Raw genomic sequence first — 20,471 nt, forward strand, 5'->3', positions numbered from 1 at the left:
TGTAACTAGAAGAATAAAATGATAATAGAATCTTAGTTGACCTGGGCTAGGAGTCCAGTTTAGTTTATGATTGGCTCCACCTGTCTTTAAGGATGAGTGTTTCCCCATGAATTAGGCATTTGGAGTGTTCGCGCATCTTGAGCTCTTGGGATGAGAATGACTGGGTTTGACACAGGGTGCTTGTCTTGCAGGATGCACATGATGGGGAAGTCAACGCTGTGCAGTTCAGTCCAGGTTCCCGGTTACTGGCCACTGGAGGCATGGACCGCAGGGTTAAGCTTTGGGAAGTATTTGGAGGTGAGAGCCTGCTGCATGTTCTCAGACTGAAAACTTGAGATGATGCACCCTTGCACTGCAGAAAGAAGCTGTGTTGCTGGCATCTGGTTGACCTTGCTTTCAGGCACTGTGAATTGTTCATTTTCTCAAAACATACATTTTATGTAAGGGATCGTTTGACCAAAGCATCATACATCTCAGTTATTCTTTACTTCCGAGTGGATGTTTGCTCTCATTTTCTAAGTAGTGATCAGAAAATACTGTTAAGTTATGGATATGTTTATGTTAGTAAGGTTTCTGTAGTTTTTCTCAAGTATATACCAATCAGAGCATCTTGCAAAATAGTACCGTTTTTATGAGGAAAATAAGTCTTATGATCATGGATTCTACAATTAAACTATACATTAAGCTGTGGTTGATGCATTTAATGACAATTGCAATAGCCTAGGGAAAAAATGACTGGAGTCATGTCTAAGCTTGAGGAAACAGAGGCGTACTACCTAGAAAAGATGTATTTAACAGTGTATCAGACGAGGGCCCTTAGATCAAGACTCAGTCTCTTTGGACTTTTAGGATGCTCAGAGATGGATGGCATTAAAACAGAAAATGGAAGTTAATGAAACCATCTCTTAGAAGTCTGAAGCCGGGCATTTCCCAGTTTTGACGTTTTCGAGATTCAGTTAAATATGCGTGTATTTTTACTAAAGTAAGGCCGAAGAATAAGGCTTAAGGTTTTTAACGGGAACCACTTTGCCAAGTGTCTGTAGCTGCGACACACACATTATCCCTGTCGAGCAATAAATAGCTCCAAAGTGATTTTGTCTGTTAATTCCCCTGATCATCACAACAGCCCTGTGTGGTTAGAATGGTAGAGATTGCGCCATTTCACAGATAAAGGGAATAAAACTCAGATACTACGTGATTTACATGGCTAGTGAATGATTTCTGTGGTGAGGGAGTGGTGGAACTAGGACTAATGCAGGCCAGAAGACCTGAAATTCCATGCTCTTACTGTAGCCTTCTCTAGCAACTGAAAAATCTTAGGGGTACTGCTTTTAAGGTTTATCAGAGCAGGAGCAACTTATTAGAATAGGTTATTAGTAAAGCACCCCTCCTATCTGCCCCGGCCTTTGATTTTCAGGAAAGGGACTCAGCAGTTAGAGCCCATTGAAGCATACTAAAATTTACTATTTTGCCCAGAAACATTTAGCTTATGAATGATAATGGCTGAAGCAATTAGAAAACAATAATAAAAACAAATCATAAGAAATTTTCACTTTGTGAGGCTGGGGCAAGAGGATTGCTTGAGGCCAGGAGTTCAAGACCAGCCTGGGCAACAAAATGAGACCCTGCCTCTACAAAAAAAATATTAAAAAGTAGCTGGGTGTGTTGGCATGCACTTGCAGTCCCAGCTTCCTGGGAAGCTGAAGTGGGAAGATCAATTGAGCCCAGGAGTGAGAGGCTGCTGTGAGCTCTGATCGCATCACTGCACTCCAGCATGGGCAGCAGAGCAAGACCCTGTGTCTTTTAAAAAAGGAAATTTTAGGGAATTTGATTTGCAAAATCAAAGTAAACAGTCTGTTTTGAGTATGCCATTGAGATTTAAATAAAAATAACACTAGAAATATTTTCGTTTTACTCCTTGGTCAGTAAAAACACCTATAAGAAAATTAGAGGTACCAACCTTTAATTCTAGTAACCTTTTTGCGGCTGAAAAGAAACGAACATCAGTTGAAGTTAATACTGACATAATCTGTGCCAGCACATAATTTGTGTTAATAAAATCAAGTTTCTACCTAATCTACAGAAATAGCAGAATGTGTGGCGGCATTTCTTACAGTTTTGTGTAGGGCCTTTCTTCTACAAACAGCTGTTTCAGTCTACAAGATTTTTCGTCTTGGCAAATATTTATTTACTGAATCTTGGAAGAGGCCAAGTTCAAGAGACCTTTTCTGAAATAGTTTGGGGGTCCTGTTTTTTCATCCTTTTAGATTATCAGAAGAATCACACTTTCTACCCAGTGGGAACATCTGTTTTTGCTCATTTTCTCCAAAGCAGAAGTTCCACTGGGAATTATACAAATGCTGTTGACATAGCACCCCCCGCCCCCAACCCCGTATCTTGTAGATAATTAAGAGTTTTAATACGGTCTTTGTTCTTTTGAGATCAATCTCTCATATTGAATAGCATTAATTTTTTGGTCACTTCCTACATTTCGGCACTGTGTTAAGTGCCAAGCAAATAGACCAGTATTTTAAGCATAAGCCAAAGAGATATTTCTTAGAATTTGCAGTAATATTTTTATCTGTGAAGATTTCATCTAAAGGAAAATCTTAGCGAATATTAGCCTTTTTCAACCCTTTTGAAAATCTTAAGAAAGCTAGGATCCAGAAAAAGCCATTAAATATGCTGTATTTTGCAAGTGAGTTCAGAGGAGAGGTTCATCAACCAGGTTAACAGTCTGTGGCCTGAATGTACATGACAGCTTCAAACCAGTATTCGTGTCACCTTGATATCTGGCTCCAATCATTATTTTTACTACTTAGAAGTACTGAATAAGATAAAAATGTGTTGAAATGTTTTCTGTTCTGTGTTCCTCTTTTACAAATATGATTACAATGGTTCCTTAATTTCTAGCTTATCTGTGTGGATCATCCTTAAGTTACCCTTTTAAAAGGAATTTAATCAAATCATTGAGATTTTTGCTCTTCTCAGTTTGGGATTGCCCGTTACTGAAATTTCCGTGTGGGTGGCCAGGCTGTCTGGAAGCAGAGTAGATAAAGTGGACAGTGGCTCTGTTGGTGAGGGAGAGCTGTGTAGAGGGATGGGAGGTGCTGGCACTTAGTTCGCTTGCCAGGATCTTAGATTCATGGAGATAAAGTATGAGGGCAAATTCCAGAAACTCCAAACTAGCTTGACTGGTATTCTATATGAGTAGTCATTTAAATGTAACTAACACAATTTCTTTTCACACCTTAATGAAAATTACCACACCATGGGTCCAGAAATTGACTGCCAGTTTCTACAAAAGTGGTAGTTAAGTTGGCACAAATGCTGATCAACCCAAATATTTATGTATGTAAGTTTTTAAAATGTACTGAGAAATAGTGGAACTGAATAAACCCAGTCTCTAGTTTGATTGACATGGTTTATAAATTCCTACACTTTGTTTTTCTAAAGAGAATGAATAACTACATTTCTTAAAGAACAGAACACACATCCAAGATGCTGGGGTCAGTGTCCACTTAGACTTGCATTCCTCTTAGAAACTAGCAGTATCTTTTATCTCTCATGTTCTCTTTGTCCTGCTATTTTGTTTGATTCTGTAAAGGTACAGGATAGCTATTGTTTTAGCAGTGTAATTGGCTTCCATTGTATTTCAGTGCCCTGTTTTAATGTATTTATTGGCTTTATTTAACTTCCCATCATCCTAATTTTTTCTTTTTATACAGAAAAATGTGAGTTCAAGGGTTCCCTATCTGGCAGTAATGCAGGAATTACAAGCATTGAATTTGATAGTGCTGTAAGTATTGAATAGCTATGATTTTAAAGGTTTTTAGAAATAATTTAAGACATTAGGTTCTTGAAATTATAACATAACTTACCCGATTTCTCTGCCATTCTCTGTATCTTAAGCCAAATCCATGTTAAAGAAAGATGGAAATAGATTATAGGGTTAATTGCTGTATCAACTCTGATAAACCCTTGGGTTCTGCTTCATGCATTAGGCTTGTGATGTTACTCAGTACTTTGTATAATTTCACTTAATAGTTGTATTTTGAGTGTATAGATGCTGTACTCCAGGGGCCAGCGTGGTCTCTACCCTCCGAGATTCGCCATCTAAATGAGAGTGATGGGAAAGCATTAAACTGCAAAGCGTTGTGCTGAGTTATGGCTGAGATGTGTGTGGAGTAGAAAGGAAATACTGATGAGAGAGTAGCTCATTCTGGGGCAAGGGTTAGGGGCCATAGTAAGGCATTTAAAGCAGATCTAAAGATAATCAAAGGTCAGAGGCAAAAAGCCAGGGACGGACACCACAGGCAGAGGGAGCAGAGGAGGTTGGGCTGGGCGAGTGCAGGAGCTTGGGTGGAGGTGATGACTGGGTGAGGCCAAGGTAGCGTCCTCATCTACCAAGAGTCCTTATCTTGATTGTCATCTCTGGGGAGCCTTGTTCACATTCCTGGGTGGGCTGAGTGTCTATGTTCCCAGCATCTTGTGCAAACCTATTCTATGGCACGGTGGTGGTCTATATCTGTTTCTTTTACTAAGCTGAGAGCTGACTACCTGAGGACAAGTGTCTGGGCGTTAATCATCTTTGTACCCCCAGCACCTGGCACAGTGCCTATTAGGTTCTAAATAACCACTCCTTGAATTTAATTGGGGAATGATAAGGAAATAAGGTTGGAAAATGAGGGTATGTTGTATTGAAAGGTTTAGACTTTTGTAAAGCCATGTGGAGACTTGAGAGATTTTTAGAAATGGGTATGGTGTTAAGTTGTGGTGGAACTGTGACAGTGCTGAAGACTGGCTTGGAGGAAGCAGGTCTGCAGTGGCCCGTGCGTTCAGTGCTTCTGCAGAGATGCAGAAGGCCCAGGTGGGGGCTGAGGAAATAGGGGAGAAAGGAGAGGACCAGGCTCGACACATTGAAGATGAACAGTTCTCAGAGTGAGAGTTGGGAGATTAGGCAAGGAGAGAGTCAAGGGTGCCTCTGAGGTTTCTGACTTGTTAATATTTGCTGCTAGTGAAGGTTGCCAAGGGAAAAGTGAGTAGGGAAGGCTGGGTTCCATTTGGAGCTTGAGGTGTCTGCAATATTCTGATGAAATTGAGCAAGCTCAGAAAAAAAAAGGTCTGAACTCGAAGGAGACTGGCGAGTTGAAGCACACTCACGACAGTAGCTGGTATTCAGGCTGGTTGTATAGGGTGAAGCATCTAAACCTTCTTGTACTTGATTATTGGGGAATTTATATCGTGTGAACTGAATTCCTCTGATTTGGCTAAAAATTGGTTTTCCTCTTCTTTATTCCCACAGGGATCTTACCTCTTAGCAGCTTCAAATGATTTTGCAAGCCGAATCTGGACTGTGGATGATTATCGATTACGGGTAAGACCCAGTTAAGAAAGTTAGTGCAATCTCCAAACTTCATGTGGTGTTATCAAGGCACAAACTGGCAGGTGCTTAATTAGGGGACTTTGTTTTCCCAAAAATCATGCTTGATTCACCCTGCCCTTCCTTTCCTCCTTGGGGAAATCTGTGTTTCCACTTTATACTCTTTGTCCAAAACTCAGTTTCAAAATATTTGCAATGGGACCCTCACATTTGCATGAAAACCTTGGAATACTCTTCATAAGGACTAAATACTTTGGTAGATAGCAATTTTGGCTTAATGGCACAGAACTTAGCAACAGCATGTGAATTGTGATTCCTGTGGGCTCTAAAACCTAATTACCTAAAGTGGGATATAGAAGTACAAATGGATGTATCATAGGGATAAGACAATTCTGAAACAAAAACTCCAAGCTGAGAAAGAGGGGACAGGTGTCAGAGCAGGGAGAAATGATTGGATGTTGAGGAAAGCTGCATTTGAACCAAAACTTGCCAAGAATTCTCTTGGCATCTGACAGAGAGACCAAAACTTGGTTGTATCATTTTTGATTGGGGCAGGGGGCGGAGGGCGAAGCATGTAACTTAATTTGCAGACATTTTTTTTCCCCATAAGCCTGAAGGAATCATCACATAAGCTTATTAAATACAAGCTATTGAAAGATATAATGGAGGATGAATTTGGCATTAGTAGGCATTTTACTAAAAAAAAAAAAAATTTTTTTTTAAAAAGTTAACACAAGCCGTTTGTGTGTGTCAACCCACACCAAAAACAGAGGAAGTAATGTTAAGATGAATTTTTTTTCTTTTTTTTTTTCTTTTGAGATGGAGTTTTGCTCTTGTGTGGGGTACAGTAGTGTGATCTCAGCTCACTGCAACCTCCGCCTTCTGGGTTCAAGCAATTCTCCTGCCTCAGCCTCCTGAGTAGCTAGGATTACAGGCATGGCTAATTTTTATATTTTTAGTAGAGATGGGGTTTCACCATGTTGGCCAGGCTGGTCTTGAACTTCTGACCTCAAGGGATCTGCCCACCTTGGCCTCCCAAAGTGCTGGGATTACAGGCGTGAGCCACTGTGCCCAGCAAGATACATTTCTTTTTTTGTTTTTTGAAGGCAGAGTCTTGCTCTGTCATCCAGGCTAGAGTGCAATGGCGCAATCTTGGCTCACTGCAAACTCTGCCTCCTGGGTTCAAGCAATTCTCCTGCCTCAGCCTCCCGAGTAGCTGGGATTACAGGCGCCCGCCACCACGCCCAGCTAATTTTTGTATTTTTTTTTAGTAGAGATGGGGTTTCACCATCTTGGACAGGCTGGTCTTGAACTGACCTCATGATCCACCCACCTCGGCCTCCCAAAGTGCTGGGATTACAGGCGTGAGCCACCGTGCCCAGCCTAAATTTCTTTTTTCTTTTTTTTTTTTCTGAGATGGAGCCTGTTGCCCAGGCTGGAGTGCAATGACGTGATCTCGGCTCACTGCAACCTCTGCCTCCCAGGTTCAAGTGATCTCCTTCCTCAGCCTCCCAAGCAGCTGGGATTACATGCATCCTCCACCACGCCCGGCTAATTTTTGTTTCGTTTTTTAAATTTATTTATTATTTTGAGATGGAGTCTTGCTCTGTCGCCCAGGCTAGAGTGCAGTGGCATGATCTCGGTTCACTGCAAGCTCCACCTGCCAGGTTCACGCCAGTCTCCTGCCTCAGCCTCCTGAGTAGGTGGGACTACAGGCACGTGCCACCACACCTGGCTAATTTTTTTGTATTTTTAATGGAGATGGGGTTTCACCATGTTAACCAGGACGTTCTCGATCTCCTGACCTCGTGATCCACCTGCCTCAGCCTCCCAAAGTGTTGGGATTACAGGCCTGAGCCACTGCGCCTAGCCCAATTTTTGTATTTTTTTAGTAGAGACGGGGTTTCCCCATGTTGGCTAGGCTGGTCTCGAACTCCTGACCTCAAGTGATCCGTCTGCCTCGGCCTCCCAAAGTGCTGGGATTACAGGCATGCACCACCACGCCTGGCCCAGATGAATTTCTTAAATCTACAAGGGAGGTGGAGGAGCTGTAGTAGAATGGTATATTAGGTGGGTTTCTGGTGATTTTCTTGAGAGGGTTGTATAGATTATTAGTATTAGATGCTAGCCAATACCTCAGGGGTGGTCATTCTTAATTCACAATTTAAAGAAGATCCAGGTCCGAACATGCAAAATAACGAGCCCTGACGATGACAAGGACATGTTGTGAGAGCTGAGGAGCCTATGTTCTTGTCTTAATGACGGACTAGGGAAGTGCACTGCTAGAGAGCCTGCCATGGGGCACACCAATTCAGATGCTTGAATAGGGTCATTTGAAGCCCTGTAGTTCTGTACTGTACACATGGAAAAGATGGCCTAGCCGGTACTCATGGCTACGTTCTAATCCATCCTGTGGTATACTGTGATTTATCTATCCATTGATCTTTTATTCTAGACTGAGATACAGTAAAACTGACCAATTATTGAAGAGGGGCCTACAGCCTTTTTTTTATGATAGTCCCTTAGAGGAGAAGAGGAAGAAGTTGAGTCAACCAGTAGTGCAGGATATTTTTTAATTGGTAATAGAGGAGTCCTATACAGGTGGGCATCAGCCTTTGGGTCAGAAATAACAAGAAGGGGACCTAGAGCAGGGAGCTAGACTGACAGATGAAGGTCATAACATTGAGCTGGCACACAGGTCTCACTGGGGAAATGTTCTCAGTATGCTGGAGCAGGGCGCAGGCTGCTGGGCTGCTGCTTCTGATGATGCCGTGCTGGGGCAGGAGCCTCCTGTGCTGGACTAGTTGGCTTTTGAGTTTCTGGCCTGCTCATAACCTTGTCCTGTTACTTGGTAAATGTGTGAAGATTGGGAGGCCTGTTTCAGCAGATTCCCTGCACCCAGAGAAGTCTCCCGAAAACCTTACCAGGTTCCAGAAAGTAAAATAGGCTCCTTATTCTAGGGAGTGCTGGCTTTTTTTTAGACCCCAGTTAACAGATGGTACTGGAGGACAGGAATCCATTCATCTATGTTGTGAAACTCACAGACATCCATGCCCTGTTCGGTGTCTCCTTTGCTCTTACGACAAGGGAATGGTGTTGGGAGAGACTGGCAAACAAGAAGCAGCTGGTTGAGTGCTTGCTTTAACATCCTTTTTGTAAATGCACCCTAGAAACAACCTGGCATTGAAAGGAGTCCTCTGTGATGCCTCCGTTAAAAATCTAAAGTCAGTACAAAACTGCCTGGCTGCTTGGTAAGATTTGACTTGAGAAACTTGCTTGAGAACCCCCCTGCCCACTTCTCTCGTGGTGTGGTGAAGTGGCCACAGTGAGGATTGGCTATGGCTGCTAGGTGATGGTTTCTGTTTGGAATGTTCCTCTTTGAGTTCTGCATTCTTCTGGAATCGGCTGTCTTTGGTTGGTGTTATGTTAGCTGCATGATTAAGTTGTTACCTGAATGAGCAATTTTGTGTTTAGAAATAGGGGTCGGCACTCGTTATCTGCCATGAGGCACAGAGATAGTCTGTGCAGAGCCCAGTGGAGCAGAGAAATCTTGAAGCCTCCCCACTTTGAGGCCCCGGCCTTGATGACATCTAAACCCGCTGCCCCGCTATTGTTAATCCCTGTTTAAAAGTAGAAGATGAAACCTAAAAGTGTTGTTAATCATAAAAATGAATTTCAGAAACACCTAACAGATAGAAGAATTTTAAATCTGATCCATTTCAAAGGACTCTATAAATGATAGAGGTGAATGAATGCCTGTAGGAGGCCCAGCTCTATACCATTGGAAGCACCGAGACAGTGAGTCAGCCTCAGGCAGCTCCAGCTTATTCTCACTGAGAATAAGGTGAGCAGAAGCCCAAACTTTTTTTTTTTTTTTTTTTTTTGAGACAGTGTCTCGCTCAGTCACCCAGGCTGGAGTGCAGTGGCGTGATCTCTGCTCGCTGCAAGCTCTGCCTCCTGGGTTCACACCATTCTCCTGCCTCAGCCTCCCGAGTAGCTGGGACTACAGGCGCCCGCCACCACGTCCAGCTAAGTTTTTGTATTTTTAGTAGAGACGAGATTTCACCGTGTTAGCCAGGATGGTCTCGATCTCCTGACCTTGTGATCCGCTCACCTCGGCCTCCCAAAGTGCTGGGATTACAGGCATGAGCCACCGCGCCTGGCCAAGCCCAAACATTGTAAAGAGCAAGGTGACAATACGTACGAGGAGCCAAGAAACAAAACGTCCCTTTCCCTTATTCCATTAGTTCAGCAGTTTCATTCCTGGAAATAAGTCAAGAGAAGAAAGCTGTGTGCTCATAGATGTTCACTGCAACAGCATCTGTGACAGACTCTTAAAGAAAGGGAGGTGCAACAAGGAAGAGATTTGATCCCATTCATCTTGCTGAGTCCGTACTAAGATAGCACAAGGATGTTTCCTGTTCACAGATGTTACAGAGACCCAGGGTGTTCAAATCAGTGGAACCCCAAAGCCCATGAATTTTCAGCTATCACATGAAAAAATGCTTACGCTATAAGCTTAAAAGAGTAATGGATAAATTTTTAGGAAGAGTATAATTGTGTAAAGATTAACATGTTCCTGTGAAGTATGTAAAAATGAATATACAGATGGTCCCCAATGTAGGGTATTTTCATCTTACAATGTGTTTGTCAAGACTGGCCCCATCATAAGTTGAGGATCATCTGTACTTGCCATATCCCACTTATGAACAATGTCTTTTTCTACCCTGTGTTTGTGAAATGTGATTTTACTCTTAACATTAAGAAAGAAACAGATAGTGAATATAAATACAAATTTGAAATTTTGATAAAATAGTTATTCAGAATTTAATGTAAGGCCGGGCACAGTGGTTCATGCCTGTAATCTTAGCACTTTGGGAAGCCGAGGCAGGCGGATCACTTGAAGTCAGGAATTCAAGACTAGCCTGGCCAACATGGTAAAACCCCGTCTCTACTAAAAATACAAAAATTAGCTGGATGTGGTGGCACACGCCTATAGTCCCAGCTACTCAGGAGGCTGAGGCAGGAGAATCACTTAAACCTGGGAGGCGGAGGTTGCAGTGAGCTGAGATCACGCCACTGCACTCCAGCTTGGGTGACAAGAGTGAAACTCTGTCTCAAAAAAGAAAAAAAGATAGAATTTAAGAAGTAGCCTACCCAAGTTTTGTCTCTGCCCATGATTTGTGCAGAGTGGATGTTTTATATTGAATGGAATCATTATTCATGGACTGTATCTAGTGTAGGCTTTGTTACTGGAGCTTTCTTGATCTTACGGAAGGATCAGTGGGAGGTTTTCACACAACCGCAGCACAGCCGGCACCCGACTGGCAGCAGTTGTAAGATGCTGTCCCAGTTTCAGAGGTTTGAATGTGGGATAAGGCAGTCTGAGAACTCATACAAGCTTCCCTCATTGAAGCTGAGAGGGGAGTATATGTGGTCCGAAGTTTTCGCTTCTGTGCTAAAGTGGAGTTAACCCCACTGAAAATAGAGGAAGGATTGGTTTCAAAAATGTTAACACAAAAAAAATCTAACCCTGAACCATGAGGTCTCATCTTTGGGAACTAAGGTTTGGAGTGCAGTGGCATGATCTGGGCTCCTTGCAGCCTCGACCTTCTGGGCTCAAGCAGTCCTCTCACCTCAGCCTCCCCTGTAACAGCTGAGACTATAAGTACCCACCACACCCAGCTAATTCGAATTTTTTTGTAGAGATGAGGGTCTCACTAATTTCCCCAGGCTGGTCTCAAACTCCTGGGCTCAAGCAATCCTCCCACCTTGGCTTCCCAAAGTGCTAGGATTACCAGTGTGAGCCACTTTGCCAACCCTTGCATTTTCTAATTAGAAAGAAAACATCAGTGAATACCTTCTGAACCTCTGGTGTTTTACACATAGAAAAATGTTGATCATGCACTGCATAGAGGTCAATGATGAATGGTAAAAGGTCTGAGTCCTCAGATCCCCTCCCGGCATCCCAGTTATCCCCAGCTGCCTCTCCTCCATCGCACTTCAGAAGTGCTGCGATGGGCAGAAGGGCAGCTGACACTCCGTGATGTCCCTCATTCTGTGTTCCTCCGTGAGCTCAGGGAAGACACTGGTTGGCATCCAACAGCTTAGTCACAAAGGGATTTGATTGTTGGGAGTGCTGGTATCTGTGGCTATGATCTGCCTTGTTCAAGCTGAGACCTCTGATTGAAAATCCCCCAGGGGTTTTAATTGTTTACATAAGGAGTCCTGATGTTTCCTTTTGTAAATTATGCCTGTGGTGACCTTGTCTAGTCTGACTTTAAATATGGAACTGACTTTCAGCAGCATGGCGCAACATCGAGGCTTTAAAAATTCTTTAATTTGATATAATTCAGACATAGAAAAATTACAAAAACAGTACAGCAGGTATCTGTGGTAGAGCTGATTTCAAATTCAAGATTGAGGATGGGGAGCACGTGAAGCTTGGTGCTAGTGATGTTGAATTTTTGTTTTTAATGTTATTTTTAGTGGGAGTTTTATCCTTTTGGTCTTGATACCTCACCTTTGGCCAACACTCAAAGATAGGCTTCCTATGAGATACATGGCCCCTGGATAAGACTCAGTGAATGAAATTGTTGCTTCTTGTCCTGTTTGGGATGTGTGTGTGTGTGTGTGTGTGTGTGTGTGTGACAGGATCTTGCTATCACTCAGGTGGAGTACAATGGCACTATCATAGTTCACTGCAACCTCAACCTCCCAGGCTCAAGCAATCCTCTTGCCTCAGCTTCCCAAGTAGCTGGGACCCCAGGCGCATGCCACCACTCCCTGCAAATTTTTAAAAAAATTTTTTTGTAGAGATGGGGGTTTCACTGTGTTGCCCAAGCTGTTCTTGAACTCCTGGGCTCAAGCAGTCCTCACACCTTGGCCTCCCAGTGTGCTGGGATTGCAGGCGTGAGTCACTGTGCCTGACCTGTTTCTTTTTCCTTTGCTGTCTTATCGCTTTGAGTGTTCCTGGCCGGATCTCAGGGTGGTCTGACACTCTGACTCTGGAGGTAAGGATGCTGTGGATACTTTGCCAGCATAGGCAGGGCCTGGCGCCCTGAGGCTCACCCTGGCTGTGTTCTCTCTCCTAGCACACACTCACGGGACACAGTGGGAAAGTGCTGTCTGCTAAGTTCCTGCTGGACAATGCGCGGATTGTCTCAGGAAGTCACGACCGGACTCTCAAACTCTGGGATCTACGCAGCAAAGTCTGTGAGGAAATTCAGTCTCTCTGTCTGTGTATATGCTTAGATGTTAGCGTGGAGGTGTGTGTTTGCACGTCAGAGCCTGCATTTATGTAATATAGTTTGAATTTCAGATCTGGCTTCATGTTTAGAGGGGCACTGAGGATAGTGATAGTTTTTCTTGTTTAAAGCTTCATTTAAGTGAGTAACTCTGACAAGTCAGTGGTTAGAGGGTGGCAGCATTATGTAAACAGCCACGTTGGTGCCTCTGCTTGATTAATGATGTTTGCATTTCTTTCAGGCATAAAGACAGTGTTTGCAGGATCCAGTTGCAATGATATTGTCTGCACAGAGCAATGTGTAATGAGTGGACATTTTGACAAGAAAATTCGTTTCTGGGACATTCGGTATGATACCCAAGCTCCTGACTGGAGGCACATAAGAGTCTCCACAGTAATGGTTCTGTACATGGGTTGTGCTTTTAAGATCTCAGGACATGGCAGAAATGAGTTTCGGTACACGTATAGTGTTAGCTTATTAACACTTGGCTGTTCTTTCCCATGAAGTAGACTGTGGAGCTTAGCAATCATTTATTGAGCATGCAGTGAGTGCTAGGCCCTTCACCAGCTGGCAGGTAAGAAAAGGCAAACAGGATACTCTTTCTACCTTTAGGTAATTTAAACTGTAGTAGGGAAGGCAGAACGCAAAAGTCAGTGACTAGTGTGTTGAAGTGGAGGCAGCTACGTTTGTTCCAGTGTGTTAAAGAATGCCTCTCCAGATTTCTCCGGAGACGTGAGTAGGATTCACACGGCAGGAAAGCCACTCAAACTTTTGAGTGTGTGTCTGGTGGCTGATACATGGCAAGTGAGCAGGAAACAGGGCAGAAGCCAGTGAGGGGGCTATGAGGGGTTGAAATCAGGTTGCCACAGGCTTGATAAGCCATTGTCAAATCACTCGATCTTGTAAGTCGTTGGGTGTTTAGCAAGGAAATGGTTGCTTTGCAGGAGTCTAGTAGACGACTTTGGTGGCATTTTGAGAGGGCATATTAGGGAATAGGAAACCAATAGAGTTGATAAGGACCTAAGTTCAAGTCAGTAGAGGAACATGTGGAGGAGAGAATCTATTTGAAGGAGAATTTGGACAGGGCTTATTGACAGGTTGGAGGAAGGGGAAGACAGGATGGAGAGTAAATGAGGACAGCCTCCCAGCAGGGTTGTAGAGAGGGTGGGGGTACAGGGCCTGTGGTGATAGATGATGCTTTGAAACACAGCATGGCACCAGAAAGTCCTGACAATGCTCATGGTTCCTGGACACCACTTCACATTTTATTCATAATCTTTAGTTTGCTTTTAAAACCTGAAATTGGAACTTGAAAGATGGAATTTGAGAGTTAAGTTGGATGTTCGAAGTCTCTTAGTCCATCCCATAATTTGACAGGTGAAGACCCTGAGTCCCAAGGAAGTGGAGTAGCTTGCTTCAAGCTGCATATTTAGCAACAATAAGATAAATTCTTGCTTAGTTAAGGTGGGAGGTAGGAAAAGGTTTCATTGAAAGCCTACAACAAAATCATCACAGAACAGGTCAGCACCCCCTTTGGCTATGAATGTCACCAACAGGGCCCTGCCCAGGGTGGCTGTTAGCCACCCTGGACATGGGCCACAGCACAGAGAAGAAGAGGGAGGTGCGTAGGGCCGTGGCTCTGCCCTGGCTTTCCTGGCCCCATATCTGGAGGTGGAGGGCCACAGAGCCACAGTGAATAGGGCAGAAAACCTGCAAGAGGCTAGAGTTACACTTACAAGGCAGCCCAGGCCCACTAATGCAGGTTTCTTTGCCAACTTTATCCAAAAGTTGAAATCACATCACTGAAAATAATACGAATTGGGTAGTAGCCCTAGTTAGCTCATGCTGATCAGAAACCGATGGGCGATTGTTGTCATTCCAAAAATGGATGAGGAAATTCTTACCAACTTCAGAGTTCTAGTCTGGGAATGACTGTCTTAGGGTCTGTTGATGGGAAAGTAAGAAAAGCAGTCACAGGTTATTAGAAGACTGGGAACACATTGACTGCGCTGGCAGAGCGTTGCATGCTAGTTGAATTGCAGTGCCTTTTTTTTCCTCCACGGCATGATGTGAAGTAGTTCTGGCCTACGTTACATTTCTCAGATCTGTTCTCCCTCTTAGATCAGAGAGCATAGTTCGAGAGATGGAGCTGTTGGGAAAGATTACTGCCCTGGACTTAAACCCAGAAAGGACTGAGCTCCTGAGCTGCTCCCGTGATGACTTGCTAAAAGTTATTGATCTCCGAACAAATGCTATCAAGCAGACATTCAGGTAACTGAAGATGTGCTGGTTGCATGAAGACCAGAGGCCCAGCCCTGCTCTCTTAACGTGCTGCGTGGCCTGAGCTCCCTCAGTGACAGTGCCCTGTTGTTTGTTTCAGTGCACCTGGGTTCAAGTGCGGCTCTGACTGGACCAGAGTTGTCTTCAGGTTAGTAGTGACCCACCCCCCGCCAATTTGGTTCATCACAAAGAGTCCTGCATGGGCATTTTCCCACTGGGGATATAGAGCTAAATTTTGTTCAGTGCCCAACCTATGTTTCCAGGAGTGTGCCTGTAAGTTCATAATTGCAGGCCACCATTATTGTCTCTTCCTTTCCAGTGTTCCTTTTGTGATTACATGAACCTAACGTGTTGTACCAAAAAATAACAGTTGGCTGGTTGCTTTGTTGTGGGTGAGCCCATTAGGTTCACTTCTCATCACTCATTCACGCAAGAGCTGTTGGAGAGCCTTTAGAAAAGGGCAGGAGTGGCCGTGGGCCTGGGGCGGGACTGAAAAGGCTTTTTGGAGAAGGGTGTGCAGGTGGTCTGCAGTTTTCTGCTCCTTGTTCCCTTCTTCCATGTATCCTGCTTCTTCCAAATACCTTTCCAGGCTCAGTTGCTAAGATGTTTCTTTTCTTCCCTCCTCTCTTTGAGGCATGTAACAAGGCAGTCCATGGGCTGAAACCCTTAGCTATGTGGAGGTTGGCTTTGATCTCCCTATATGTTGTTTTGTTGAAGTCTGTAGATGGTTAAGGACTTGGAGCCCCAAGAAGCAATGTGATGCCACTGTTCATTAGCCGGACGGGGCTGAAATACTGGGGAAAAGCAGATTTGGCTGGAAGGGCCATGACTAGCACACATTCTGAGGTCTGGGTACACAGGAGTGGTCATCAGTGAAGAACAAACATTCCTTCTTGGGAAAAAGGCCACAGAGATGCTGAATTGGGGGTGGGGAATTGACAACCTTTCTTTTCTTACTGTCTTCTGTAGCCCTGATGGCAGTTACGTGGCGGCAGGCTCTGCTGAGGGCTCTCTGTATATCTGGAGTGTGCTCACAGGGAAAGTGGAAAAGGTTCTTTCAAAGCAGCACAGGTAAGATGAACCCTGTCTCAGCCCCCCGTTGCGTTGTGAGCAAGGCCTTTGACTTCATCTCAGGGGTCATCCGGTTTAGACCTCAGTCGGCGCTGTGAGGGCACTGTCCGCCCACCTGCTCGGCTGGCTGAGCTAGGTCAGTGGAGAGAAGCTGGGGCCACTCACACAGCACAGCAGGCCACAGTCTACAGAGTACGCCAGGTAGAGCGGTTAGAGTGGCAGCCGCTGGAGAAAGGGTTATAGAAACACATCCCTGACTCTTTGGTTATGTCCACGTCCTCTGTGTCTCCTTCCCCTTCCCTACTCTCCTTCCTTTCCGCCTCCCTGTCTCCCTTGGAAGTCCCTGTTGTCAGTGCATTTCAGTGCATTGACGTGTCCTAAACACTGATCTCCACACACCTTCTTTTATCTTCCACCTGATAGGCAGGCCCCAGACCCCCTTTTTTCCTAGCTTTGTTCTGCCCACACAAGCCCACCTGCTAGTTGGAACCCAGATACCATTTTCCTTCAGAACCTCTCTCCCTGTCCTTGGGCAGCAGCAACTGCTCCCAGACCTAACCAGTGCTGACCACCACTGCCCGGCTCTTCAGAGGCATGTGTACTGTCTTTCCAGCTCACTCAGAGCTCCTCTCTTAGGGAGAGTGTGATAAGGCCTGACTGCCAGAGGGGCCAAACTCCCTTCATCCCAGCATGACTTAATTAAGTACACCACTGGATTTTTTCTGAGGTCTTTTGCATGTTAGTGAGCTCCTGCCTTGTCGCGGGCACAGTGCCAGAGAGTAAAATGGAAGTTGGAAAAATTAGGACTCCCTGAATGCACAAGCTTCTGGTGTTTGGTTTACCAAGATCTCATCCCAAATGTTCTGAAACTTGGTGCTTTTCTGATCTCTCCTTTGAAGCTCATCCATCAATGCGGTGGCGTGGTCGCCCTCTGGCTCGCACGTTGTCAGTGTGGACAAAGGATGCAAAGCTGTGCTGTGGGCACAGTACTGACGGGGCTCTCAGGGCTGGGAGGACCCCAGTGCCCTCCTCAGAAGAAGCACATGGGCTCCTGCAGCCCTGTCCTGGCAGGTGATGTGCTGGGTATAGCATGGACCTCCCAGAGAAGCTCAAGCTATGTGGCACTGTAGCTTTGCCGTGAATGGGATTTCTGAAGATTTGACTGAGGTCTCTCTTGGCCTGGAAGAATAACACTGAAAAAACCTGACGCTGCGGTCACTTAGCAGAGGCTCAGGTTCTTGCCTTGGGAAACACTACTAGCTCTGACCTTCCATACCTCACTTGGGGGAGCACAGGGCCCCGCTGGGCCTCCTCACCAACGGCAGTGCCAAAATCAGCCCCCACATCAAGGTGGTGTTCTCTGTGCTTTCTCTCGTCCTTCCAAAGTCGGTTCTGGCCTAACGCATGTCCCAACACCTTGGGTTCATTTGCCCGGTGAACTCACTTTAAGCATTGGATTAACGGAAACTCCCGAACTACAGACCCCTCCCTGGTGGGTTGCATGAATGTGTCTCATTACTGCTGAAATGTCCTCACATCTCTTTCACTGTTCTTCAGAGCTTTCTGGCTCTCTTTCCCCCACAAAATTCGACATATTTAAAAATCTCCGTGTGGCTTTAAAAAATGGTTTTTTGTTTTTTTGTTTTTTTGAGGTGGGAGAGGATGTGTGAAAATCTTTTCCAGGGAAATGGGTTCGCTGCAGAGGTAAGGATGTGTTCCTGTATCGATCTGCAGACACCCAGAAGGTGGGTGCACACTGCATGCTTGGGGGTGCCAAGGGATTCGAGACCTCCAACATACTTGTCTGAAGGTGGTGATTCTGGCCATGGCCCCTCTGCCAAGCCTGTGTGCGATGCCCTTGGTGCTTTAGTGCAAGAAGCCTAGGCTCAGAAGCACAGCAGCGCCATCTTTCCGTTTCAGGGGTTGTGATGAAGGCCAAGGAAAAACATTTATCTTTACTATTTTACCTACGTATAAAGTTTTAGTTCATTGGGTGTGCGAAACACCCTTTTTATCACTTTTAAATTTGCACTTTATTTTTTTTCTTCCATGCTTGTTCTCTGGACATTTGGGGATGTGAGTGTTAGAGCTGGTGAGAGAGGAGTCAGGTGGCCTTCCCACCGATGGTCCTGGCCTCCACCTGCCCTCTCTTCCCTGCCTGATCACCGCTTTCCAATTTGCCCTTCAGAGAACTTAAGTCAAGGAGAGTTGAAATTCACAGGCCAGGGCACATCTTTTATTTATTTCATTATGTTGGCCAACAGAACTTGATTGTAAATAATAATAAAGAAATCTGTTATATACTTTTCAAACTCCATGCCTCTTGGTGATTATTTTATTCTCCCTTATCCTTAGAAAGGGGAAAGAAAGTGATTTCTTTGTTTACCTGGTAGTTATTTGTAAACAACGGCTAGTACTTTTTAACGGTCTTTTTTCATTCATCATGTAAGCTCCATTCCACAAAGTATCTCTCTCTGTAAACACCAGTGTTCCAGTTTCATGTCGCGCAAATCTTAACGGACATTGGAAAGATGTTTCTTCAGAACATTACCAGCTGCAGTAGAAGAGCCCAGCACGGATTGCTCTTCAGCCCTCTGCACGGAGCCTCTCTCCAGTGAACTGCCGCAGCAGAGAGGCATTCACTTGTGGTGGCTCAGATTCCTGACACACAGCCTGAGCTGTAGCAAATGATGACCACCCTTATCAGGAAACTCAGCCAGTCGTCCACTTAGCCTAGCACCTGGAGTCAAGCTGCCATCAGAGTCTGAAGTCTGAGGCAGCCAATGCTTGCACAAAGCTGGATGAAAGCGAGATGTGTTGGCTCACACCTGTAATCCCAACACTTTGGGAGGCTGAGGCAGAAGGATCACTGGAGGCCAGGAGTTGGAGGCTACAGTGAGCTATGATTGCACTCCAGCCTGGGTGATACAGTAAGACCCTGTCTCAAAAAAAAAAAAAGTTAGACGAGCCCTTTGCAATCACCTTCAAAAAGGTGATTCTCCAAATAGTCCCCAAATAAGTGTTCGAGTAGTCTCAGATCATCCTGTTTTTGCATTTGGAGGGAAGCATGGCTGTTCTCTGTGCTCAGCCTGAGCTCCATTCCAGTCCCTTAACTGCCAATGCTGAGCTAAAGGTAAGGGGGTCTCACAGCACCGGGGAATGTGACTTCCGTTTAACTCCCTGCCTAGCGCATGGACTAGGGCCTTTCCAGCTGCTAGTTTTGTTGGTCAGAGCAGGAGGCATGCATAGGGGTGTGTGTGTGTGTGTGTGTGTGTGTGTGTGTGTGTGTGTATGTATGTATGTATGTATGTATATGTATGTATGTATGTATGTATTTGAGACAGGGTCTTACTCTGCTGCCCAGGCTGGAGTACAGTGGTGTGATCACTGCTCACTGCAGCCTCGACCTCCCAGGCCCAAGTGATCTACTCCCTAAACCGGAGCACACCACCATGCCTGGTTAATTTTATTTTTAATAGAGATGGGGTCTCAATATGTTACAGGCTGGTCTCCAACGGCAGTGCCAAAAGCAGTCCTCCTGCCTCAGCCTCTCAAAGTGCCAGGAGTACAGGAGTGGAGCCACTTTTGTTTGGCCCTATTTTTTTTATTTATTTTTATTTTTTGAGACAAGGTCTCTGTCACCCAGGCTGGAGTGGAGTGGCGCAATCTTGGCTCACTGCAGCTTTCGCCTCCCAGGCACAAGTGATCCCCCCACCTCTGTCTCCCGAGTAGCTGGGACAATAGGTTCGTGCCACCACACCCAGCTAATTTTTTATATTTTGTAGAGACGGTTTCACCATGTTGCCCAAAGCCTTATTGTTCAAGCACATACTGTTCATATGCTGCCTCTTATAGATGTCCCAAAGCCCCACCTGCTTTCACAGCATGGCACAGGACGTTTTGTGTGGACACGGGTGAATGGATGAAGAAGGTGCTCTTAGGCTCCAGGAGCAAGTTGGCTGGGAAGTCCCAGGTTGCTGAGTGTACCAAATCCTGCAGAACTACCTGAGTGTCTGTAGCAGAACAGCAATTTTAATTGATTAGACCTTTTTCTTTTTCTTTTTTTTTTTTTTTTTTTTTGAGGCAGGGTCTCATTCCGGTTGCCCAAGTCGAGTGCAGTGACAGAATCTCAGTTCACTGCCACTTTGACCTGGGCTCAGGTGATCCTCCCGCCTCAGCCTCCCGAGTAGCTGGGACTGCAGCCACGTGCCACCACGCTTGGCACATTTCTTTGTATTTTTAGTAGAGATGGGGTTTTGCCATATTGGCCAGGGTTGTCTCGAACTCTGGACTCAATCCACCCACCTGCCTTCTCAAAGTGCTGGGATCATAGGCATGAGCCGCTGCACCTGGCCTGAGTAGATGTTGTAAAATGTGGACTTTCCACTCATACCTGTTTCCAGCACCAGGAGACAAGAATGACAGTGATAATACTGTCTTGTACCAAGTCTGGTTACTTTGATACAGAAACCACAAGCATTTTTGTTTTT

At 45.0% G+C, this 20,471-nt stretch overlaps 1 protein-coding gene and 1 non-coding gene across 13 annotated transcripts in view, besides 1 other annotated feature; both read left to right on the plus strand.

Moving 5' to 3' along the window:
• ATG16L1 (autophagy related 16 like 1) overlaps positions 1-18,293 on the plus strand; it is a 43,997-nt gene extending 25,704 nt beyond the window's left edge. For 11 of the 12 annotated variants that reach the window (NM_001363742.2, NM_030803.7, NM_017974.4 and 8 more), the window contains 9 exons: positions 192-297; positions 3,729-3,799; positions 5,306-5,377; positions 12,478-12,598; positions 12,872-12,977; positions 14,752-14,901; positions 15,011-15,058; positions 15,880-15,981; positions 16,881-18,293. In NM_001363742.2, coding sequence (NP_001350671.1) covers positions 192-297; positions 3,729-3,799; positions 5,306-5,377; positions 12,478-12,598; positions 12,872-12,977; positions 14,752-14,901; positions 15,011-15,058; positions 15,880-15,981; positions 16,881-16,974 — 870 coding nt within the window. In that variant the 3' untranslated portion in view covers positions 16,975-18,293. Of the gene's footprint in view, positions 1-191; positions 298-3,728; positions 3,800-5,305; positions 5,378-12,477; positions 12,599-12,871; positions 12,978-14,751; positions 14,902-15,010; positions 15,059-15,879; positions 15,982-16,880 lie in introns of those variants that run through there. The other variant, XM_047444850.1, reaches the window with a different exon arrangement.
• Positions 11,300-11,565, plus strand: SCARNA6 (small Cajal body-specific RNA 6). The gene has a single exon (NR_003006.1).
• Positions 11,308-11,809: an enhancer, noted in NCBI's record as "NANOG hESC enhancer chr2:234197330-234197831 (GRCh37/hg19 assembly coordinates)". NCBI's record gives its function as "activates a minimal SCP1, AML or CMV promoter by ChIP-STARR-seq in naive H9 embryonic stem cells {active_cell/tissue: H9 hESC(naive)}" and the evidence as "EXISTENCE:reporter gene assay evidence [ECO:0000049][PMID:30033119]".

Source organism: Homo sapiens, chromosome 2, assembly GCF_000001405.40.
Source record: "Homo sapiens chromosome 2, GRCh38.p14 Primary Assembly".
In the NCBI taxonomy this organism is placed as follows: Eukaryota; Metazoa; Chordata; class Mammalia; order Primates; family Hominidae; genus Homo; species Homo sapiens.